Raw genomic sequence first — 24,341 nt, forward strand, 5'->3', positions numbered from 1 at the left:
GGTGATTTCATTTGTAAGTAACGTTTTGATTGTCACAGATTATATGTTGCTCTCCTCCCCTGACATTTGTTGTACAGCAGGATTGATTTTTGTGCTCCAGTATGAAAAGGTCACTTTGATCAATGCAGTGTAATTGGCACTAAATTAGGATCATATCATGTTATTTTGCTATTTAATGATGAAATATTAAAGAAAAGCATTGGTAGATTGCAGGCACTAACGTGCTCTTTAAACCTGCTGTAATGATGCTTTATCTTGTAAGAGAAAAACAACTAAAGTGCTGAAAATGACTGTGATGTATTGGAAGAGTGGCCTGGAATTATGTATTTTCATTGGAGATAGACTGAGAGCTCAGACACAAAACACCAGGCCCAGCAGTCAGTCCTGCTCCACTGCACAGAGCAGCAAATACGGAGGCTGTTGATGGCTGTGCTCATTAGGTGCCAGTGAGAAGTACGAAGCCTTTCATTCTGCATATAGTAATTATGTTTAAAAACATTTCTGTGCTCTGCATCCACTTATTAGACAAACCTCCGCTTTTGAAAATCTGCAACTTGGTTATGGTGTCCCAGCTTGCAATGCTTTTCTGTTTCTGGAGAGCGTTCCCAGGCCCTGGCCTGGCCTGTTGGGTTTGCACCTAGAGTAATTATAAGCGTCATAAGGAGTGTTAAATACTGTGTGTTATTTCCTCCATTGTAAATAGATGTGTTCCTCCATTATTCTAAAATGTTGTTGAGCAAGAAAAGGCTGCATACAATTATACTTATAAGTGCAGCTAATGTTGCAGGAAATGTGTTTGGTGCTTTGCTGCCATGAAGTATATTATCTAGCTGCAGCATGAGCTAAAACGGCTGCTAAAAGATGTTAACCTTTTTAACAGCTAGAAATATGGAACCACAAATATTGATAAAATGATACAGGATGCAGTTTAGTACAGAAGGGGGGCAGGTGGGGGTGGCTCCCAGGCACGGCAGCAGTGGCGGAAGGCAACCCCTTAAGGACGCCGCGGGGCCGAGAGCAGAGCTCACCCTTGAGTCTGCAACCTTGGCTCTGAAGGTCCTCGGCCCTTTCTCCAAGGGTAGTTCCAGAATCTTTCAGACAGTAGTTTCAACATCTGTTTGTGGCTTCAAGGACAAAGAAAATAAAGGTATTGTAACAGAGGGCTTCACAGTAACGTTGACACCTGACCTGCTGTAGCCTCTTCAAAAAATGAAAATAACAGTAATCATTGGGATTAAAAAATGCTTTTTTTGGTATTAATGTTTGTTGTGGGTTTAATTGTGTCCCCTCTCAAAAATATGTTGAAATCCAAACCCCAGTTACCTTACTTGGAAATACAGGCATCCTTCGGTGATGCTGTGGGTTTAGTTTCAGAACACTATCATAAACCAAGTCACACTAATTTTGTTGGTTTCCAAGTGCCTGTAAAAATCATGTTACATAATACTGTCATCTAGTACATTTGCAGTAGTATTACATCCTTAAACATTAACATACCTTAATTTAAAAATATTTTATTGCTAAAACTTGCTACCAATCCTCTGAGCCTTCAGTGAGTCGTCATCTTCTTCCTGTTGAAGGGTCTTGCCTCGATGTTGATGCTGAAGGATCAGGGTGGTGGTTGCTGAAGTTTGGCGTGGCTGTGGCAATTCCTTAAGTAAGACAATGAAGTTTGCCACATCAATTTCTTTCACGGAGATTTCTCTGTAGCATGAGATGCTGTTTGTTAGCATTTTACCCACAGTAGAACTTCTTTCAAAATTGGAGTTAATGCTCTCAAACTCTGCCACTGCTCTATCCACTAAATTTATGGAATATTATAAAGCCTTTGTTGTCATTTCAATGATGTTTATAGCATCTTCAACAGGAGGGGACTTCATCTCCAGAAACTACTTTCTTTGCTCATCCGTAAGAAGCAGCTCCTCATCTGTAAATCTTCTCATGAGATGGTAGCGAATCAGTCCCATCTTCGGGCTCCACTTCTAACTCCAGATCTCTTGCTATTTCCACCACATCTGCAGTTACTTCCTCCACTGAAGTCTTGAGACCCTCAACATCATCCATGAAGGCTGGAATCAGCTTCTTCCAAACTCCTGTTAATGTTGATATTTTGACCTCCTCCCATGAATCAGGAATGTCCTTAATGTTATCTAGAATAATGAATACTTTCTGGAAGGTTTTCAATGTAATTTTCCCAGATCCATCAGAGAAATCACTATATATGGCAGCTATAGCCCTTGCAAAATATATTTATTGAATAATAACATACAAAGGTCAAAATTACTTTTTGTTCTCTAGGCTGCAGAAAGGATGTTGTGTCAGCAGGCATGAAAACAGCATTCATCTCTTCATGTATCTCCGTCACAGCTCTCGGGTGACCAGGTGCATTGTCCATGAGCAGGAATAGATTGAAAGGAAACTTTTTTTCTGAGCAGAAGGTCTCAACAGTGGGCTTAAAATCTTCAGTAAACCATGCTATAAACATATGTGCTGTCATATGGACTTCGTTGTTCTACTTACAGAGCACAGGCAGAGTAGATTTAGCATCATTCCTAAGAGCCCTAGGAGTTTTGAAATGATAAATGAGCATTGATTTCAATTGAAAGTCATCAGCTGCATTAGCCTCTAATAAGAGTCAGCCTGTCCTTTGACTCTTTGAAGCCAGACATTGACTTCTCCTTTCTAGCTGTGAAAGCCCTAGATAGGATCTTCTTCAAATAGAAGGGTCTTTTTTATTTCTCCATTGAAAGTATTTTGTTTAGCATAGCCACCTTCATCAATGATCTTAGCTAGATCTCCTGGAGAACTTGCTGCAACTTCTCCATCAGCACCTGCTGCTTCACCTTGTGCTTTTGTGGTGTGGAGATGGCTTCTTTCCTTCAACCTGATGAACCAGCCTCTGCTAGCTTCAAGCTTTTCTTCTGCAGCTTCCTCATCTCTCAGCTTTCATGGAATGGAAGAACACGAGGACCTTGCTTGGGAAAGGCTTTGCATTAAGGGAATGTTGTGGTTGGTTTGATACTCCATCTAGATCACTCAGATCTTCTCCATATCAGCAATAAGGATGCTTCATTTTTCTATTATTTGTGTGTTCACTGGAGGAGTACTTATGATTTTTTTCCCCAAGAACTTTTCCTTTGTATTCATAGCTTGGCTAACTGATGCAAAAGGCCTCACTTTTAGCCTGTCTTGGTGTTCAACATGCCTCCTTCCTCAAGCTTATTCATCTCTAGCTTTTGTTTTAAAGTTAGAGACTCATCCCTTCACTTGAACACTAGTTGTTATTGTAGGGTTATTAATTGGCCTACTTTTAATAATGTTGTGTCTTAGGAAATAAGGAGGACTGAGGAGAGGGAGGGAGATGGGGAGTGTCCAGTGGGTGGAGCAGTCAGAACATACAAAAGATTTATGGATTAAGTTTTCCATCTTATACGAGCATGCTTTGTGGTGCCCCCAAATAATTGCAATAGTAACATCAAAGATCACCAATCGCAGATCACCATAACATATGTACCACGAATGAATGCATTTGAAATATGTGGAGAATTACTGAAATGTGACACAGACACATGAAGTGAACAGGTGCCATTGGAAAAATGGCACCAGGAGACTTACTTGATGCAAAGTTGCCACAAACTTTCAATAAAAAAAAAAAAAAAAACTCAGTATCTGTGAAGTGCAGAAAAGCACAACAAAACGAGATACACCTGTAGGATCTTCGCAAATGTGATTGATACAGTCTAGCTCTGTGTCCCCACCCAAATCTCATCTCGAATTGTAACCTAGTTGTGACTGGGGAAGAGACCTCCTGGGGGGTGATGGGATCATGGGTGAGTGAGTTCTCATGAGACCTGATGGTTTTATAGGGGGCTTTTTCCCCTTTGCTCTGCTATTTCTCTCCTGTTGCTTTGTGAAGAAGGACATATTTGCTTTCCCTTCTGCCATAATTGTAAGTTCCCTGAGGCCTCCCCAGCCTTGCAGAACTGTGAGTCTACTGAACTTCTTTTCTTTATAAATGACCCACCCTCAGGAAATTCTTTACAATAGTGTGAAAATGGACTAATACAGCGATCCAGTTTAGATGAGGGTCCACCGGACCTGTGTCCTTATAAGAAAAATGAGAGGGATTTTGGGGCAGGGAGACATGGAGGAGGCACGAGGGGGAGGCCACATGAGACAGAGGCAAAAATGGTGTGTGATGTGTGTACAAGCCAAGAAATGTGGAGATTTGCCATCAACTACTCCTAGGAAAGGATCTTCCCCGTCAGCCTTTGGAGAGAGCGTGGCACCATCCACACCTTGATTTTGGACTTCTGGCCGCCAGAACTGTGAAAGAAAAAATTCCATTGTTTTAAGCCACCCGGTTTGTGGTACAGCAGTCCTAGGAAACTGATACAATAGCACACGTATTTTACCTAAAAAGGACCAGGGCTATTATATTTTTCCCAAATCCAGTAATTTGAAAGCTGCCCCATTTTTTTCCGTCAGCATTATCATTGATTGCTGTTTACAGTGATAAGGCATTTAGGGGAAAACATCCGTGAGATGCGCTTGTCTAAGGAGACACTAGAATCCCGACTGGAGGTTTTGAGACAGCTCTACTCCATTCATTACTCAGAACAATTTATTGAGTATCTACCCTGTGCCAGGCATTATGCTTTTGCTGGGATGAGAGTGGAAAATAGCAAGTGGTCCTTTTCAAGCTTGTACAGACGCAAGCAAGTAAAAAGTTAAATATAACATGATGCCCGCCTGATGGGCACATGACACCTGCGTAGAGCCCAGCAAGATCTTCTGGAGGGAGCAGGGGCTGCTCTGAACTCTGGAGAATAGGATACGCCAGAGCTTGCCAAGAGAGGTCTCCGTGAACGTGTGCATGCGTGCACACTCAGAAGCATGCGCTCCTGGGGTCAGGGCTGGCTTGGATGTGGGTAGACAAGCAGGGGAGCTGCTGGAGGGAAGGGCCCTGAAAGGGCGGAGGATGGAGGGCGGCACCTGCAACTTCAGTTGAGCCTGGCTGGAAGGCCCAGGGTGCTGAGACCCCCCTGAAAAAGTCCATGTGCAGATCTGAGGGCTGTGGGTGTGGGGCTAGGCTTGGAAAGGGAGCCATGGGAGGCTTATAAACAGGGTGCGGACGTGACCCATGAATTCTCAGCAAGCCCCGCTGATTTCAAGTGGGGAACAGACGGCAGTGGGAGCGCAGACGGAGGAGAGCCAGCTTGGTGGGCCGGAGTCTGGTCTCGGCACAGGACCGGGCAAGTGGGTGAAGGGCTTTTATGAATCAACCTGGCCCTGGTGCCCAGATGTTTGGTTTGATGCCAGTGTGGATGTCGGGGAAGGTATTCTTTAGATGAGGTCTAAATTCACATCAGTGCATTTCGAATGAGGCAGATTTCCCTCCGCGATGTGGACAAAGCTGAGGTTTCCAAAGAAGGGATTCGGCCTCCAGATGTCCTTCTTACCCCAGCCAGCACCGAGCCTGCCCTGTGTCCAGTACCCGGTCTCCCCTGCCCACTTGGGTCTTGCCAGCTTCTGCTCTTTTGGGTGTCTCTGCAGGGGGCCCCGTGGAACTCGTGCCTTCCCAGCCCCAGTCCCTGGACCCGTCCTCCTCCCTCCTTCATCCACTCTAGACCGCCTCACCCTCCAGCAGCACTGAGCTGTCCCAGAGCTCCATCCCGGGGGCTCCGGCCTTCCTTCTCTGAGGGGTCCAACACAGGCGGCCTTTCCCGTGTCAGGCGGCAGTAGCAGCAATGGCCATCCACCCTCGCCATGGGAAATGGAAGCACCAACAGGTGCCCGTGTGGTACAGAGAGGATGTATCTCCATGTACGTCACACCCACACTCACATACACTCATACTCACCCTGACTCACATACACCACTCACACACACACATGCTCTCACACACACTCTCTCACACACACTCACGCTCACCCACATACACCACTGACATACACACTCTCTCAGATACACACACTCATGCTCACTCACACACACACACACTGTCCCACACACTCATACACATGCACACTCACACACAATACACACACAGGCACTCACAATCCACACACAGGCAGACACATACACACATGCAAACATCCACACTCACACACACACTCTCCCACATACACTCACACTCCACAGTCACACACGCTCACACACACTCTCACACTCATGTTCACTCACACACATACTCTCACACATACATTCCCACACTCACACAATCTCACATACACATACACATACACTCACACTCAGACTCCCAGACACACTCACACACTCTCACACACACATACACTCACACACAGAGCCCTCTGTTCCAGCGTGCAGCAGCAGGCTGTCCCCCTGCGACGTCGCGTTTGATTTTCCTGGTGGAGCAGACCCTCCTGAAGATGTTTCTACTCTGCGGCAGTGAGGTGCACGGTACACAGGACAGCTGCTGCCAGCATGAGGGCCAGCAGGGAGCAGGGGCAGGCCACCAGGACCCTTCCTTATCCCCAGGTGGAAGTCAGCGCAGACTGAGGCAGCTCCATCCTGGATGCTCGCCCCCATGTGCACCTCTGATTAACTCCAGTTCTGGGAAGGCCTCCAAGGTTTCTACTTTACTGCTCATCAGAAATTCTGCCCTTGGACAAATCCTTCTGAAGCAGGCGTGCCCTTTGTGCCCTGGGTCTCGGGGGTGTCAGCAGAAGGATCCACTATCTTGAGGCTGCCTGAGACATGCCTTCTGCTCGTTAGCCCCACCAAATATTTCTGAGAAACTGGATTTGTCAGCCTCTTTGCTGGCCCCACCAAATGTTTCTGAGGAACTGGATTTGTCAGCCTCTTCACAGGCCTCTCAGCTTTCTGGAACTTTGTGGGTAGGTTTGCATAGACCTGCTCACTGTGGGACAAATGTTTTCCCTTCCCAACAGGACGTGGCATCCCGCAGAACTAAGGTTGCAATGCCCCCACTGGGGGAGACGGGGTCCACACCAAGTCCTCTCCGACACCCGCCCCTCAGGCCTGTGGACCGTCACCGGGGGAGATGGGGGCCACCCCAAGATTCCAGACGTGGAAATGCTTAAAGTGAGTGGGAGAGCAGAAGCCCCCAAGCAGCACAGAGACTCGGCGTGAGGAACAGCGCGTGCGTGCGCGCAGTTGCTTCTTTTTCTGTCTCATAGTCAGGCTTGTGCCCCCGTCCTCCCAGCTGCTTTTCCCCTTGAATTTGGCCATTGTCTTAGTTTGTTTATAACTCTATAATGTAAAACCTTAGACTGGGTAATTTAGAAATAATAGAAATTTATTTCCCACAGTTCTGAGGGTTGGAAAGTCCAAGACTGAGGGTCCAGCAGATGCTGCTTGCTGCTTCCTAGATAGCATCTCTGCTGTGTTCTCACATGGCAGGAGGGGCCCGGGCCCACCACGGTACTCTCTTTGAGCTGCAAATGGTCACTAATCTTATTCCTGGGCTTTGCCCTCATGACTCACTTCCTAAAGGCCCCACCTGTTAGGGCTATCACACTGTAGATTCCATTTCAATACATGAATTTCAGGGGGATGCACGCCAATCATAGCAGTCACCAAGTCATTTCTTTAAGCTAAATAACACCAACAATGCAGGTGACTAGAGAGAGAACAGCAGAAGTGCTGTCGTGAAATAGACTAAGCATAAAAGTCCAGATTCCCTCTCTCTGATCACCCTCAGCCCCCTACCCTGACTCCAGCAGCCCCCGAGTGAAGGAGAAATCCTAATACCACAGGGGAGACAGCAGTCCAGCTGTATTAAGGCCCTTTCATTCCCAAGGAATGATCCCATGACTCTTTGGGGTTAACTGTTGTGTCATCATTCACAATATTAGAATGGATATTGGTACAGTCACACAGTGCGAACCACAGTAGAAGTTTCCAGCTCCAACAACATTTCCTGTGGACTGAACAGCACGGTGGAATTGCTTCTGGCAGGTTCTGATCCTGGAAAAGAAGGCCCTGAGGCGCTCAGCACTGACACTGATGTACCTGAGTGCCTGCGGTTCCTGGAACAACCTCGCACAGCATGACACAAGAGGGAAAAGCCTAGAGCAGGGTGTGGAACACAGGGCTGGGGGTGGCGAGGGCACTGCTGCACCTGAGTGCCTGCCAGGCCCCTGCTCTCTCTCACCTCTGGGTGACATAGCCCCGTGACTACTATGGCCAGTCCAGTGCCGCTGGCAGCAAGCTTGCATGTTTTGGGCATCTCAGCTGCCCTGACTCCGGCTGTGCCCCGCCATGAGGTGCGAAGAGCTCCCAGGCTCTCATATCCCTGTGTGATCAGCCTCAGAAGAACCTTGGAAGCACAGACATAGGGATGAATCAGGTTACCATGAATTACTAACTACACAATCTTGGCTCAATTTCTTTACCATAGTCAAGCTTTGTTTCATTTGCAAAACAGAGAAGTCACAAGTGCAATTTGAAAGGGCGGCAGGTGCAGTGTGTGGCTGGTGGCAGAGTCTTCATGAATGTGAGTCTCCTCCCTTCCTTACAGAAGTTCAGTGTTTCTTCTTCTTTTGTTCCGGTCAGAAGACAGGTCTGGTCTGGCTGTTGCTAAGCTCATGAAATAATCCCGAGAACTCTGGTGAGGGCACAGCCTCTCTCCAGGCACCCATGAGCCTGTGATGGGGCTTGCATTTTGCATCGCTTTTCCCAGCCTCTTGGGGATATGTGGAATAATCTTGCCACAGCCTGGAGTAGCTATGTCAATAACAGCAACATACAGACACAGCCCTGTGCAATTTACCAGCCGTGGATGGAGGACATGGGCCCCGTTCATTGTATTCACTTCGTACTTTATCCCCGTTGATCTACCCATGGGCTGTCCACCCACACATTCATATCAGCCAGCTTCCTTTGTGACGAGAGAGGACAAGTAATCACCCTTTTCCTGGACTCCTCAGACCCTTGCAGGTAGGGGCATTGCACACACCTCATGGGATTCAGCTCTTCCCTCTCTCTCCCCAGCACACTCTCTTCTGCACTATGGAGATCCCCTTTCATTAACACTCTTTACTGTTTGTTTGTTTTTAATCAATCATCCAGCTTCTAGAGACTTCCATGGTGACTTTGTACATTGATAACTGTATTAGTCCATGTTCACGCTGCTGATAAAGACATACCAGAGACAGGGTAATTTATAAGGAAAAAGAGATTTAATGGACTCATAGTTCCACGTGACTGGGGAGGCCTCACAATCATGGCAGAAGACGAAAGGTGTGTCTTACATGGCAGCAGGCAGGACAGAAAATGAGAGCCAAGCAAAAGGGGAAACCCCTCGTAAAACTATCAGATCTAGTGAGACTCAATCACTGCCATGAGAACAGTATGGGTGAAACTGCTCCCATGATTCAGTTATCTCCCACTGGGTCCCTCCCAACACCATGGGAATTATGGGAGCTACAATTCAAGATGAAATTTGGGTGGGGACACAGCCAAACCATATCAATAACCTCCAGGTTATTGATAGCAAACGCAGGTAATCTTTGAGCTGGGCTAAGAAATGAAGGTTATCAATAACCACCAGGTTCTTGATAGCAAATGCAGGTAATCTTTGAGCTGGGCTAAGAAATGAAGGTCGCTATCGATTTTTATCCTCAAAGGATCACTTTGGTAAATTTGGCACATACAAAAAAAAAATCACAAGTAAAAGAGCAGGTTGCTTTTCTGGTTAGTGTGTTTTGTTATTTTCCAATCCATTGTCAGTCCTTTCCTTGTGGATTTGTTAGCAGTGTGAAGAGGGCAGTGATCTGGGACTTGGGTTTATTGCTCTTCCCAAATCAATCTCGTTCTCCTCTGTAGTCAGCAGGTTAGTGATTTACTGGTATTTTTCTCTCCCACTCCATGGTTAGCTTGAAGTCCTCATATCAGAGCACCTGGTTTCTGGAAAGCTTGGTTCCTGTCCTCCGAGTGAATTCCATCTCTGCCCGTGTGTCCAACACTCTAGTAAAGTTAACCTGGAAGACACTCTGCAAGGCTGCCACTTCTGTCCTCAGATCCTGGTCTTATAAAGAGATTCTGACACATTTTACAGTGGAAAATATATTTATTCTAAAACTTCTGGTGTGTGTCTGGGGTATCAAAACTCTATTTTTGTTTGTTTTTTTCCAAACACCTTCAAAATTGAAGCAGACAAGTTGAGGGACTTAACAAATGTACCGTTTGATGTCTGTGGACAGAAAGTACAAAATGAATGCACTTTACAGTTGTGGTTATACAAGACATCTGAAATTTCTTACTATTCAACTTGACTTGGTGTGTTATACACAAATTAGAAACAAAACAGGCAATTTTCCAAGTGAAAATTCTGTTTAGCTAGTTTATAGCACATACTTTTTTTTGATTTTTGATTTTTAATACACATTTGCATACAAAGTATTTTCAAAATTGTATGGTTTCACTCTTCCAGAGTGTAATATTACAAAAACCAATCAGCTGCCAACAATTTGATACTGAAAATAAAACATTTGTGAAAAAAATGCATTCTTTAAATTGAATCAATTTACTTTTACAAAAATAGGAGTAGAGTTGTATCAAGAATACTTCATAATTTTTTTTTCATGTTCTGGCTCATTATTTAGTTCCATGGTTTATACTTAAACACTAAAATATATGTAGTTGAGTAACTTAAAAGGCACTTTAATTATACACTAACATACGAACAGGCACACTGATTATGTAGAAACCAGCTTATACATATGCAAATGAAAGGCTGGACCTTGCCCAGTTTGGAAAGATCATTTAGGAACACTCAGGACTTCCCTGGAAGGGAGATATCAGTGATTCAGGTATTGCTATTTCTGACTTAAGAGATAAAATGATAGTAACACATTGAACGATCGCTAGATACGAAATGACCCCTCCCAATCCATAAACTTTAAAAGATGTTATTTCTCCTTAAGTACAATGTTTTTTCTCCTTATATGATTTAATTGTTATGCATTTTGTGTGTTTAATCTTTAATTGATATAATTTAATTTTTATAAGTAGATTTATTTATCTTAGAAATATAAATTTGTATAAGTACATTTATCTTATAAATATATCTTTGTTATAAATACAAATTTTTATAAGTACATTTATTTATCTTATAAATAAATGTACTCTATTGATATCCCAGACACACACCAAAAGTTTATCTTATAAATAAATTGTACTTATAAAAATTAAATGATACAAATTATTTGAAGATTAAATATTATAAAATAGTAAAAGACATAAAAATATCATATTACATAATTCACTTGCCAAATATAACCATGAGTTTTGTTTTGGTGTGATCATATTTAATTTATCTTTATCATATGCCACATGGCGTGTGGTTCTTTTAATTTTTAAACACAACTTCGTATTTATTAACACGCAGATAATTGTAAACTACTTGGGCAGGGATTGTCATGAAACAGCAGGGCCGGCCCCATTCTGCTGCCATTTTCCACTGCCTAGGGTGGGACTTTCTGCCCCTTCGCCTGATCATCTCGTTCCCCTCTGGTCTCCACCTGACCTTGCTGTAGGGCTCCATCCTGACCCTCATGTTTGGGCGTTGCTATTCCTTCCCCTTCTGGGGTACAAGGTTTTGTTTTCATTCAGAATTCTCCGTCCATAAAGTTTCCCACCACCTCTGCCTCTAATTAGACTTACAATCTAATTTTAGATGGATACATTTTCAGTGCTTGTATCATTACGATAAATTATTACAAGTAAATGTTATTCACAATTGAGTCACATGATATGAAGTTAAATCATATAATATTCTATCTCCTTTTTCCCAAGCCTTTTTCTGTCCAGAGTCACCCAGTGAATGGAACAGAGTAGAAATAAATTTCAACTCTTTTTTAAATTAACAGTTCATGATATTAACATTTTGGAGTATTATTCTGTGAGTTTTAACACATGTATAGATGGGCATAACTACCAGCAAAACCAGGATGCAGAACAGCGCCACCACCCAAACAATTCCCCTTTGCTGTCCAATCTCCAGCCCAGTCCTGGTACCACTGACCCGTGCTCAGGTCCCACAGTTTTAACCTTCCCAGAATGTCGTAAAAACAGAACCATGCAGTACGTCACCCCTGGCTTCTCTCTTTCAGCAGAATGCTTTTAATTCTTTATATAAAAAATTTTAAGTTAACAAATAAAAATAGTACATATGGAGTAAAAATGATTATTTAAAATATGTATACGCCATGGAATAGCTAAATTGAGCTCATTAACATTTGCCTCAACCCACATAGTTGATTTTTTGTGGTGAGAAATTTCAAATGTACTCTTAGTGATTTTCAGGAACATAGTGCACTGTTATTAGCTGTAGTCACCATGTTATACAATAGGCCTCTTGAACTTTTGGGTTTGATCAGCTCCCAACTTTTGTCCTTTGCTTTCAAAGGCATGAAATTACTCCAAGAGATCCTTTGATGTGACATGTTTGCCTGCGCCACTTCCTTGGAGACATTTTCATCATTTTTGTCCCCGTGAGTGGCTTTGCTGTCCTGGAAATCCTCTGGCTGCAGGTCTATGACCCACCCCCTCCACAATGACTGCAGTCCGCCCCACTACCACCAACGACTGCAGTCCGCCCCACCGCCACCAACGACTGCAGTCCGCCCCACCACCAACGACTGCAGTCCGCCCCACCACCACCAACGACTGCAGTCCGCCCCACCGCCACCAACGACTGCAGTCCGTCCCACCACCACCAATGACTGCAGTGTTCACACCTCCAGGGTCTGTCTTTCTATTTTCTATAATTCCACTTACCTTGTTCAAATTGCACTTTCAATACGATCTTTTCATTTCACAAGCTATGTTTCTATCGTTTTAGGCCAATTTTCTCTTTCACTTATCTATTTTTGCAAAGCTTCACATACCTGTCCCTGGGAGTACCCTCCTATCTAACTAGAGTTGGTATCCTCTGACCTACACCTCCCCAAACTCCTGTCCCCAACCCTGGTAAACACCTTTGTCCCCAGCCCTGGTAATCACCACTGCCCCCCCAGCCCTGGTAACCGCCACCATCCCCATCCGTGGTAACCACCACCGGCCCCCCGCCCTGGTAACCACAACGGCCCCCAGACCCGATAACCACCACTGCCCCCAGCCCTGGTGATCACCACTGTCCCCAGACCTATTAACCACCACTGTACCCAGCCCTGGTAAACACCACTTTCCCCCAGCCCTAATAACCACCACCGTCGCCCAGCCCTAGAAACCTCCACTGCCCCCAGCCCTGGTAAACACCACTGTTCCCAGTCCTGGTAACCTCCATTCCATTCTCTCCAGCATGATGCTCTTGACACTCAACATCCATCCATGCTGCTGTGTGCATCAACAGTTTCTTTTTATTTTTTTGGCTGGTTAGTGTTGCACTGGGTATGTATTCATCTATTTAAGAAAATTTGTGTTGTTTCCAGTGTTTTGCAATTAGAAACAAAGATGCTATAAACATGTTTGTGAATATTGTTGTGAACATTTATTTAGGACAAATATCTAGGAGTGGTATGGATGGGTCACAAGGGAAGTACATGCTTGATTTTGTAAGAAACCACCCCACTGCTGGCCCGGGCGCGGTGGCTCACGCCTGTAATCCCAGCACTTTGGGAGGCTGAGGTGGGCAGATCACGAGGTCAGGAGATCGAGACCATCCTGGCTAACACATTGAAACCCCGTCTCTACTAAAAATACAAAAAAATTAGCCAGGCGTGGTGGCGGGTGCCTGTAGTCCCAGCTACTCGGGAGGCTGTGGCAGGAGAATGGCGTGAACCCGGGAGGCGGAGCTTGCAGTGAGCCGAGATCCCGCCACTGCACTCCAGCCTGGGTGACAGAGCGAGACTCCGTCTCAAAAAAAAAAAAGAAACCACCTTACTGCTTTGCAGAGTGACTGTGCCATTCTGCATTTCCACACGCGACTCTTGAGAGTTCCAAATTCTTCACATCCTCATCAACAGTGATGGTTCTTGCTTTACTTTGGCTACCGTGGCTTAATTAAATAGCACCAGTCCTCCAACGACATGGTTTCTATTTCACCTACCACGGTGTATTAATTGTGAGCATTCTAAAAAGGACAACTTTGCTCCGGAATCATCTGTCCACAAATCACTGGTGAATAACAGGTGGGCTTCGTGGTCAGCCTCCCATCACAGCGCATCTTGGGAACCTGTTGGTGACGGGTCCCTGCAGATCTCCCATTTGGTTCCCAGACAGCAGAGCATCTGGCCATGCTGGCTCCCTGTCTCCCAGGGGTACACACCTGAAGCTTTGCAAAAACAAATAAGAGAAAGAGAAAACTGGCCAAAAAAGTTACAAGTACAACTTTTGAAATGAAATAATATTCAAAGTGCAATTTCAATAGGAGGTAAGTGGAGTTACAGAAAATAGAAGGGCCAGCCACGGAGATGTGGCATTGCTGTCATCGGAAGCGTCACAGACTTGCAGGCAGAGGAGCCCTGGGACGGCAAGGTCACTGATGGGGACAAAAATAATGAACACATCTCCAAGGAAGGGGCACCAGCGAACACGTCACAGCAAGGACCTCTCAGAGAAATGGCATGTCACGGAAAGCAAACGATAAACGTTTGAGGCTGATCAAACCTAGAGCGGAGCTTGGCAATTCATCTCAGCATGGAAGAGAAGCCAGCTCTGTTTCGTAATTTTACAAAAAGAAGGGGCAAGTCCTGTTCAAAGTACTTTTAACACCCTTTTTACCAAGAAGCCAAACATTGTAGTTGTCAATGTCCTGTTTTAAATTGTAGTGTTCTGCATAAATATTAGCTTCGTTTTTTTCATGTTTTGATGCATTTAGTACCAACACCAATACAACACTAAGTTTTTAAGATTTTGAGAAAAAATATTTACAGGTCACTAAACAATCTTAATTTTCTCCGATGAGTAAGACTGCTTGGCTTAGTTCCAACTTGCACAGTCATTTTTTATGATCCTGTCTTATTAGGGAAGGTCAGACCTGCCTCTGCTTGCAAGTGCCAGATTTGATTTTTGGTGTTCTTTTAACTGTTGTCCTTCTAACAAGTGAGTAGTGTACCTCATTATGATTTTAGTTTGAATCTCTTAATGGCTAATATGGTAAGCACGTGTTCATGTGTTAATATGGTTTTCACAGGCTTATTTGCCAACTGTATATCTTCTTTGCTGAAGTGTCTGATTGATCTTTTTCTTATTGTTGAATTTTGAGTATTCTTTATATATTGTGGATATTCAAGTTCCTTGCCCGACATTGTAATTGTCAAGAACTACGAAGATATGCAAGCTTTTCTTCTTAACATGCTAACTAGTTAGCCTGCCAGTTGACAGATATTGGAAAGCAACTCATAAGTCAGAGACAAAGGACTTTTATTACAAAGGACTTTATTACTCACGACTCAGCAAGCAGCAAGAGCTTGTGTCCACGCCAGCTCCCTTGTTCCCCCAATCACACAGGGGTGATTACTGGGGTGTAGGTGGGTACTCATGCACAAGTGGGTTTGTGTCTGAGGAACTCCACCTTAACAAACTAGAATATTTTTTATAGTAGTAAGCTAGGAGACCCTCTCTTCCTCTCAGAGGAAGACATTGTTTTTATCATATTAGGAAGTAATCCTATCTGCCTTTTGCTCTGCAGGGAGCAATGTACTACATTCCAAAGCTGTTGGCTGAAAGGTACCTCTGCTTACAAGATATGCAGAATCGAGATCCATGACAGTCTCCCAACACTGTCAAACTTTAGAAAATTTTAATGCAGAGTTTAATTTGTCATTATTTTCTTTCTTATCATTTTATTTGTACAGTTGTCTAAAACTTTGTCATTTTATAAATCTTTTCAAAAATCAACTTTAAGTTACATTGATTTTTTCTAATAACTTTTTATTTTCAATTTCATTGATTTTTGCTCTTATCTGTATTCTTTGCTTTCTTCTGCTTGTTTTGGGTTTATTTCACTCACTTTGTGTAGTATCATAAGGTGGAAGCTTGTAGTATGGATTTGATAACTTCCTTTCGAATCTAGGCGTCCAATGATATAAAGTTCCCTTAAATCCCTGCTTTAGCTGCAAACCATTCTTTCTTTTAATTTTTTCCCACTTAGTTCAAAATATTTTACAATTTTTTCTCCACTTCAACCTATGAGTTATTTAGAAATACATTGTTTAATTTCCAAATATTTGTGTATTTTCTAGTTATCATTCTCATATTAATATCTAGTTTAATTTTACTATGATCAGAGAATACACTTGAAATAATTTCAATAATTTGTAGTTTGTGAAGGTTTGTTCTATGATCCAGAATATGATCTGTCCTGGTGAATGTTCTATGTGCATTTGGAAAGAACATGTGTTCTGCTGTTGGTGGTTGGAGTGTTCTACTAAAATCGAGTGGGTCCAGTTAGTTAATGGTGATTTTCTAGTATTCATCCTGATTTTCTGTCTACTTGTTCTATTGATTTCCGAGAAAGACCTATTAATGTCTCCAGTTGTAATTATGGACTTGTAATTCTCCTTGTATTCTAATTCTTCTTTAGCTCCATAAATGTTTACTTCATGTATTTGAGTCTCTTCTGTTAGGCACATACATATTTAGGATGGCTATATCTTCTTGGTGAACGGAGACTGCCACCACATTGTAAAATCTGCCTCTTTTCTTCTTTGTCCTGAAGTTTGCTTTTTCTGAAATTAATAGAGTAACCCCAGTTTTCTTCTGATACATGTTTGCATGGTGTATCTTCTTTTCATCCGTTTATTTTTATTACTAAAATAAATTATACTTTAAAGGTGGGTTTATTATAAACAGCGTGGAGTTAGATTATTAAAAATTCCAGATGTACTGAATTGTCAATATGACAATTTCTGTACATTTAGTTGATGTGTTTAGAACATTTCCATTTAATGTAAACATTGACATGTTTGCATCCAAGTCAATTATCATTTTTTATCTTTGTCCTCTCTACTTTTCATTCTTCTCTCCCTGTCTTTCTGCCTTCTTTTAAGTTTTTTGAATACGTTCAGTCTTTCATCTTATCTATTTAATTTTTGATAAAAATCTCTTTGAACACATTTTTTCAGCAAAGTTTCTCAACACTTATTAAGAAACTACCTAAGAAGGACAATATTTCAAGAAAGTTTGTTTAATTGGCTTACTGCTAATGAAAAATGGTTATATGAAAATTTTTATTTTGTTGAAAACAATTATTTTACTGAATAATAATTAAATTTAGTTGTCTATTATGTTTTCTAACTTTCAATGATATGATAAAAATATCATTGCATGTTTTTTGATTTGTTATTATGAACGTATATGCATAAAATAGACAATAATATGCCATTTTGTGGAAAAACTTGTTCTAATCTTAGATGTAAAACAATAAGCCTTTCCTTATTAAATAGGAGGTTAGCTGTAGGTTTTTCCCAGCTTCCCAAGTTGAGGTAATTCTCTTCTAGTCCGATCTCACTGAGGGCTCTTTTTAGCATGTTAGGTTTGGTCAAAACAAAATTGATGCAAAAAATCCTTTATTTCTGCATTGATTGATATAATTATGATCATATGACTTTTTTCTTTTGCCTCTTTTTATGGTGTGTTATGATAAAAATACTTTTATGATCAATTATTGATAATAATCAATTTATTGATTATTGAATATTCCACTAGCCTGGCATATCTGAAATAAAATCTATTTTGTCGTGTTACATAAGTTTTTCTTTTTCTTTTTGTCTTGCTGTTGAATTTAGCTTGCGAATATTTTGATGAGGAGTTTGCAGCTAAATTCATGACAGACAGCTATTGGTTTGTAGGAGGTTTTTTTGTACTGTATTTTTCTGGATTTGGCCTCAGTGTAATACCAGCTTCATAAAATGAGTTGGGAATTGTTCTCCCTTCTTGAATTTTTGGAACAGATTGTATTCCATATGTTACTTCTATAAGTGGTTGATAGAATTGTCCAGTGAAATCATCTGAGCCTGGGGATTTCTCTTCCAGGAGCTTTTAAAATATGAATTTAATTTCTTGAATAATGATTGGGCTGTTGTAGAGTGTCTCTCCGTCTGTAGTTTATGTCTGTGTATGTGGGTCACATGGAGAGTTCTGTGTATTTGGATCAGGTCCTGTTGGTTGGTCATGTTGTTCACGTCTTCTGTGTCCTGGATGCTGTCCTCGCCTGCCGTTCTCTCAGTTGCTGAGAGGGGCTTATTAAGTTCCCCAACTAAAACTGTGGATTTGTCTCTTTCTCCTTTCTAGTTCTACAGGTTTTAGCTTTATGTGTGTTTAGATTCTATTGTTTGGTGTATACAAAAAAGGACTGCTATGTCTTTGCAATGTCTTATGTAATTTCCCTTTCTCTGAAGTCTACTGTATCAGATCTTTATATACACACTCCTTTTTTTTAAAATTATCTTTTTCTATTATTTTCCTTCAATGTACTTATGTCGTTAAATTTTCAGTGAGTTTATTATAAACAGCATATTTTGGGGTCATGTTTTTTTGTACACTGTGCCAAATTCTGCTTTTGATTGGTGTATTTCAACCAGTTATATGTACAGTAATCATTTGTATTTTAGGGCTAAAGTCTGCCATATTGTGATATGTTATGTATTCCCCTGTTTCTCCTTTTTATGTTATTTTATTACATTTTTTCCTTTCTCCGGATTACGTGAATGCTATCTGGGGTTCCTAATTTACGGATTTATAGTGCTTGTGAGTTCATCTTCTCACTTAGCTTTCCCGGCGGTTTCTCTGGTATCCGTGTGTAGCTGTCCCAGCCTGCTGGCATCGACGTGCTGCCCTGAACTCGAGGCAGCTGCATCATTGCTGCTTGTCATTCTTCTGTCGGCTCACCACACGAGCCCAGCGTTTGTGCATCTCAGTGTTGGCATCAGCTGAATCTCTTTTTTCTTTCAAGTTGTGATTTTCTTGGTTCTTGGTGCAATGGAGCTTTTACGTGGTGTATTGGCTGCTTTTCATGGTGTCAGCTGACTCTGGGTCCTGGTTAACTTGTTTGGTGTAGCAGGAGACCCTCTGCCTTGGCTGGGTGCAGCTCCTGGCCTGCTCTGTGGACCGTGACTCTGTGTCTGGAAGCCTCACACTGATGCTTTGCTCTCCTTCGTTTTCCTCCTGCCACCGGGGCTTCCACACGTCAGGCCTGAGAGGGCCTCTGGAGCCTGCAGGCCCATGGGACATGATCAAACATACCATGTTGTCACAAGCCCCGAGCTATTGTCTAAGAAAGGGGAAGGCCTTGGCCATGGACACACCCTCAGCCCATCTCCACGGAGCAGTCACTCACACGTGTATCTCAAGCCTGGTCACTGTCAAGGCATCAGACCCTCCTGTAACCAGAAGCAGTTCTTACTCTTGCCAGAGACAGCAGCCTTGCCATTGATGTGAACTAATTTTCATTAAGTATTTAGTTATAAGAAATCATATTTATGGAAGTTACTATGAAAATCACACAATCCATTCACCCAAGCCCTGTCAGCCTCACTATGTATCTGTAACCTATCTGTATTTCTGCTTTGTACACAAATTTAAGAGTAAGGAGCAAGGCAAAAGAACTCATCCTACAAAATCCTGAAACTTTATAATAGTATTTTATTGTAATAATGGAAAGCTCACATTTATCACTCAATTTATAATATACTGTAAGCATATTATTTCCTGACACCTCCCTAAAACTTATGGGGTCATTATCATAATCACAATTTTATCAAAAAGAAAGTGAAGATTAAGTGGTTAAATACCAGTTATAGGGTTCTAGGTAAATTAGGAGTTTTAATCCTGGCTCTCTGAATCCAAACTCTGCATCTGTAACCACTATACTACACTGTGGAAACAAATTATTTTTCTTTTATTTCTTAAAATAATGTTTGTTCTCTCTACGACTAAAAATAATGTCTACACTTTAACCAAAACATAGTGTTACGATGCTTATTTATATAAATGATTTCACCACAAAAACGGCTAAAATAAACAAAAGGATGTTAAAATGTGTAAATCTAAAAGTATCCATTCTGAAACTATGGAATGACCCATCTTTGACAAATATCTTGTTCTGGGTAGAAATATTTATTACATAATTGGTTTGCAAATAGGCAACATCCTTTGAAATGGGGGAAACGAGACAGGTGTTTACTCCTGCTCTCTTCTCCCCTGACAGTGAGGCCTGGGCCGTGGAGAGCACCATCCAGGGACCCCCCGGGGCCCCAGACTTCTAGGAGCAGTATATGTAGATGGAGAGGGGGAAAAGAGACAGTGGAGGAGTAACACTAAGTGAGCGAAGTAAAAGTGGCAGAGAAAATCAGTTTTATGTAAAACACAATAAACATGCTTAGAAGAAACAAAAAGCAGTTCTATTGGCCTCAGAAGCAAAATGAGTTTTCCCCCTTCTTTTACTATTTTAACTTTCTTGTGGAGGTGCTGGCCAATGAAATCCTTTAAAAGTACTAAGGTCATAAATATTACTAAAAGAGAATCATTAGGTAATTTTTCAGATATTTTCAATAGAAAATCATCAGATACTTTTTCAAATATATGTAGAAGAAAATACTTGATTACCAGTAGGAAATCATATGTGTGTATGATGCCACACACAAACATATTTATATACATGAGTTCAGTAGTGATGGTGTCAAAAATGGACAGGCAATAAAAGTTATATACAAAAACAGACAGAAGGATAGTAAAGAGTCAGCATATAATATTACACAAAGAGATTATATAATTGTGTTTATGTAATACATATTGTATATACAGTATTACATAGGGAAAAACACGCACAAGTAAAAACCACCAGAAACATATTTTATATGGAAAAATGAACACAATTTTAAAGTATGTAAAATAAATATTGAATCAATAAAATGAATACCTTATTTTTGGCTAGGAAGGCTTAATGTGAAAAGGACCTCAGTTTTTAATTATTCCTATATGAATTAATATCCTTAACATCCTACCAAAGAAAATTCCAACTCATTCACAATGAATTAACTTAGAAACTTTATAAAACTGCTTCTGAAATTTTCCTGGAAGAAACGTGTTTGAAGAACCGGGAGATGCAATGTCTCTGACCCCTGGAAGAGCTGGCTGTGCACTGGCCCGCCACTGTGCCTTTCACTTTCCAGGTCAATCCGTCTTCAGGGAAATGCGGCCCTGTGGGGTAGCCACAGTTATTATGTCCACTGTAGGGACTAAGAAGTGGAAGTTATAAGGGTTAAGTAACTTGTCAAGGTCATGCAACTAGTAAGAGTCCAATCAGGAAGTTGAAGCCAAGTCCATGAATCCATTATGTTTCCTCAAGAAGGACAAAGGAAGGGCACATAAAGGGACAATGCTCACTTCCGGGTGTGAATGTTCATAGGAGGCTGATGTGATGATGGTGTGAATAATAATGATGATGGTGTCAGTAATGAAGACGGTGTGACAGTGTGGAGAAAGCAACGTGCTCAGATACAGGCTGAAGCAGAAAGAGAAACTTCCTAGATGAAATAATTGCATCTGAAATCATCAGGAAAAAATACTGGTCGATCAATGATGGTGTGAAACATAAAGCTGCAACTCTGCATCACTTTTCATACTAAAACACATTTGGTGTCAGAGAAGATTGTAATGTAAACAGCAATATATAAATCAGACAACCAAAAAGCTGTTGATATTAATAAACAGAGATCAACAATCTAATTTCATAGCATGTGAAAGTCAAATTTATAGATAATTCACAGAAGAAGAAATATAAATGACCAGCAAAGTATGAAAGACATTTGACTTCATTAGCAAATGATTACAAATTAAAATGACCTTGAAATTTTGTTTGCCCTTAGTTTTCCTAGAAGAAAAGACCCCCCGACCAAAAAAAAAAAAAAAAAAAAAAACATGATAACCTTTCCCATATTTGTCAGAATGGGAATGAACACTGATAGCTTCTGGATGATTTGACAAAACGTATTAAAATGATCAAAATTTAAAATAAGTTGACCTTCTTTAACATTCAAGTTTGACTCTGCTATGTCTAATGGAAAGAATTAGATAAGTCAAAAAAAGATATAAGCACAATGATGTTCATTACAACATTATTTATATTAGAGGAAATTGGAATCGACCTAAATGTTCATCAAAGGAAATCTGTTAAATAAATTAGAGGACATCCATAGTGCTCAGCTATTAAAAAGAATGATGTAAATCCACATTTGCTGACTTGGAAAAATGTCCATGAGCAAACAAAGCAGGTTGCAAAATGGTCTGCAATACACAGTCCCACAGTCACACTGGGTGTGAGAGAGAAACACTAAGAATAAAATCTCCCATGCATTGCCTTTAGCTTTTAACAATAAAGAAAATTAAACTTGAGTCTTACCAGTTGGCTCCTTTGATAATTATGAGCTCTGATACTTCCCTAATGCTGTCAGCCAAACCCTAGTGCTTTTGATGTAAGAAGTTTATTATATTTCTTTATCTTGGTAAGATGTATTGTTTTCATCTATTTTTAAAATATACATTTTATTCTTGTTTAAAATATGAAAGTAATATACTATTTAGTGCAATTCACTTGAAGTTGGCATAGTAACCAAAAACTACAGTCCAACTGTAAACAAATACTCTATTGATATGGAAATTACAACTTTAATACGTATCATGATAATTTATATAGACATGAAATTCTTTTCATAAAACCTACCGTTTTTCTGGTGGAATAATAAATGTGCATAACATGATGATAGCATTTGAAAAATTAAATATGTTCCCTGGGATGCAAATATTGTATGTGCTGGAGTGAAATGATAGCCTGAAAATCAAATCTTTACCGTGGGCCCAAGGTGGAGAAAAGACGTGGACTTAGGCCCTGACCATCCGTACTTTGCACACGTAGAGAGACAGCTGGGATGCATGTTTATAGCTTTGCTTGTGCAAACAGAGAAGCATGCCAGTCTTCTCATGCAGCAAATCTTATTTCCGATACAAATTTGAAAATCCGTGAAGCATGATAATATTCACTCTAGGATCTATGACCTCCCATAAAACACAAGGAGGATGAGGAGTGGGTTAAATGGATTCTAATGATGCCTGTGGACTCGTGCACTCCCGTAATGACTGGGGAAGATTTATACGCTCTCTCTAGGTATAATTAGACACCCACAAACCCGTCTGACCCTGCTGTGGTGAAGAGCCCTTCTGCTTTTTGTTTCAGCAGATGAATCAATACTCGCACGTTCTACCACTGTGGAGTGAAATTGAGGAAATGAAAATCTGATAATTTTGCTCCCAGTGCCGTCTAGACAGAGGAGAGCAGTGTTAGTCTTTGACAGGAAGATCTATTTCCAGTTTCTCAAAAGGCTAGTGTCAATTTTGAAACTTCTCTTGTTATTGATTTTCAGTTTTGTTAAAAAGGATGCTTTATTAGGAATATTAGTCCCAGCGACCGTGTAGGCTCATATCTAGTCCACCAGCAGGTGAACGCGCATTTTAATTTGGGGTCTGGGTGGGTTTGAATTGCAGATCCTTGTGTGCAGTTCTCGTCAGCCTGTCGCCCCATGTCGGCAGTCAGCTGCACTCCTACCTATTAAAGGGGAGAGCCAAAGTCGCCCTCTGTGTCTCCATGGATAGGCCTCGATTTTACCAATTCATTGAATTATACGTCTCTCCTAAATATCTTAGAATGCATTTGCTGACGTTTTGTAAATGTATATTTGCCTGACCACACACCGTTGACACTGGGGCTTGCAAGCTTTTAGATTTTAACATCGTCAAAACAAATTGTATTGAATCAGTGAAGATATTCCAAGCAAACACCACCAATGCTCTGTTGGCATTCACTAACAAGCCACGCCATCATACCTGCTCTGAAACGCTCTGTCTTCTGGGTCCCTCCGTGACCCCGCCACACATCCTAGACATCCCTTTTCCTGTGGTCTTTTTTGGCTCTCTGTGCCCCTTCCCCCAATACTTATTGGAATATTTACTTATTTTTGCCTCTTCCCTAAACTGTACATTCCTTGAGAGAAGAAGTGTTTTGATTCTTCTAAGTTCCCTGGACTTGGCAAAGTGCCCACTACAGAGTGGGAACTCGGGGCCATTAAGCAGGGGCAAAATGCCCTCCGCCCTCCACTGTGGTCTGAGCTGTTCAGCTTAAAGCATGTATCTGGGTTCTTACTGAATCATGTTTGTACTTTCTGTTCCTGAGAAATAAAATGTTTCAGGATCACATGAATTTTTAATAGCCAGTTAGACATCATTGTGGAGAAGAATTTTGTGTCTGGTATAATTTTGTATCATGGCCATTATGGAATAAAAAAAGATAATGATCCTCATACTATTAATACTGTAGACCACTGAAAGCGTAAAGCAAGATGTTTCTTTTCTCCATT

The sequence above is a fragment of the Homo sapiens genome, chromosome 18 (genome assembly GCF_000001405.40).
Source record: "Homo sapiens chromosome 18, GRCh38.p14 Primary Assembly".
NCBI lineage: Eukaryota > Metazoa > Chordata > Mammalia > Primates > Hominidae > Homo > Homo sapiens.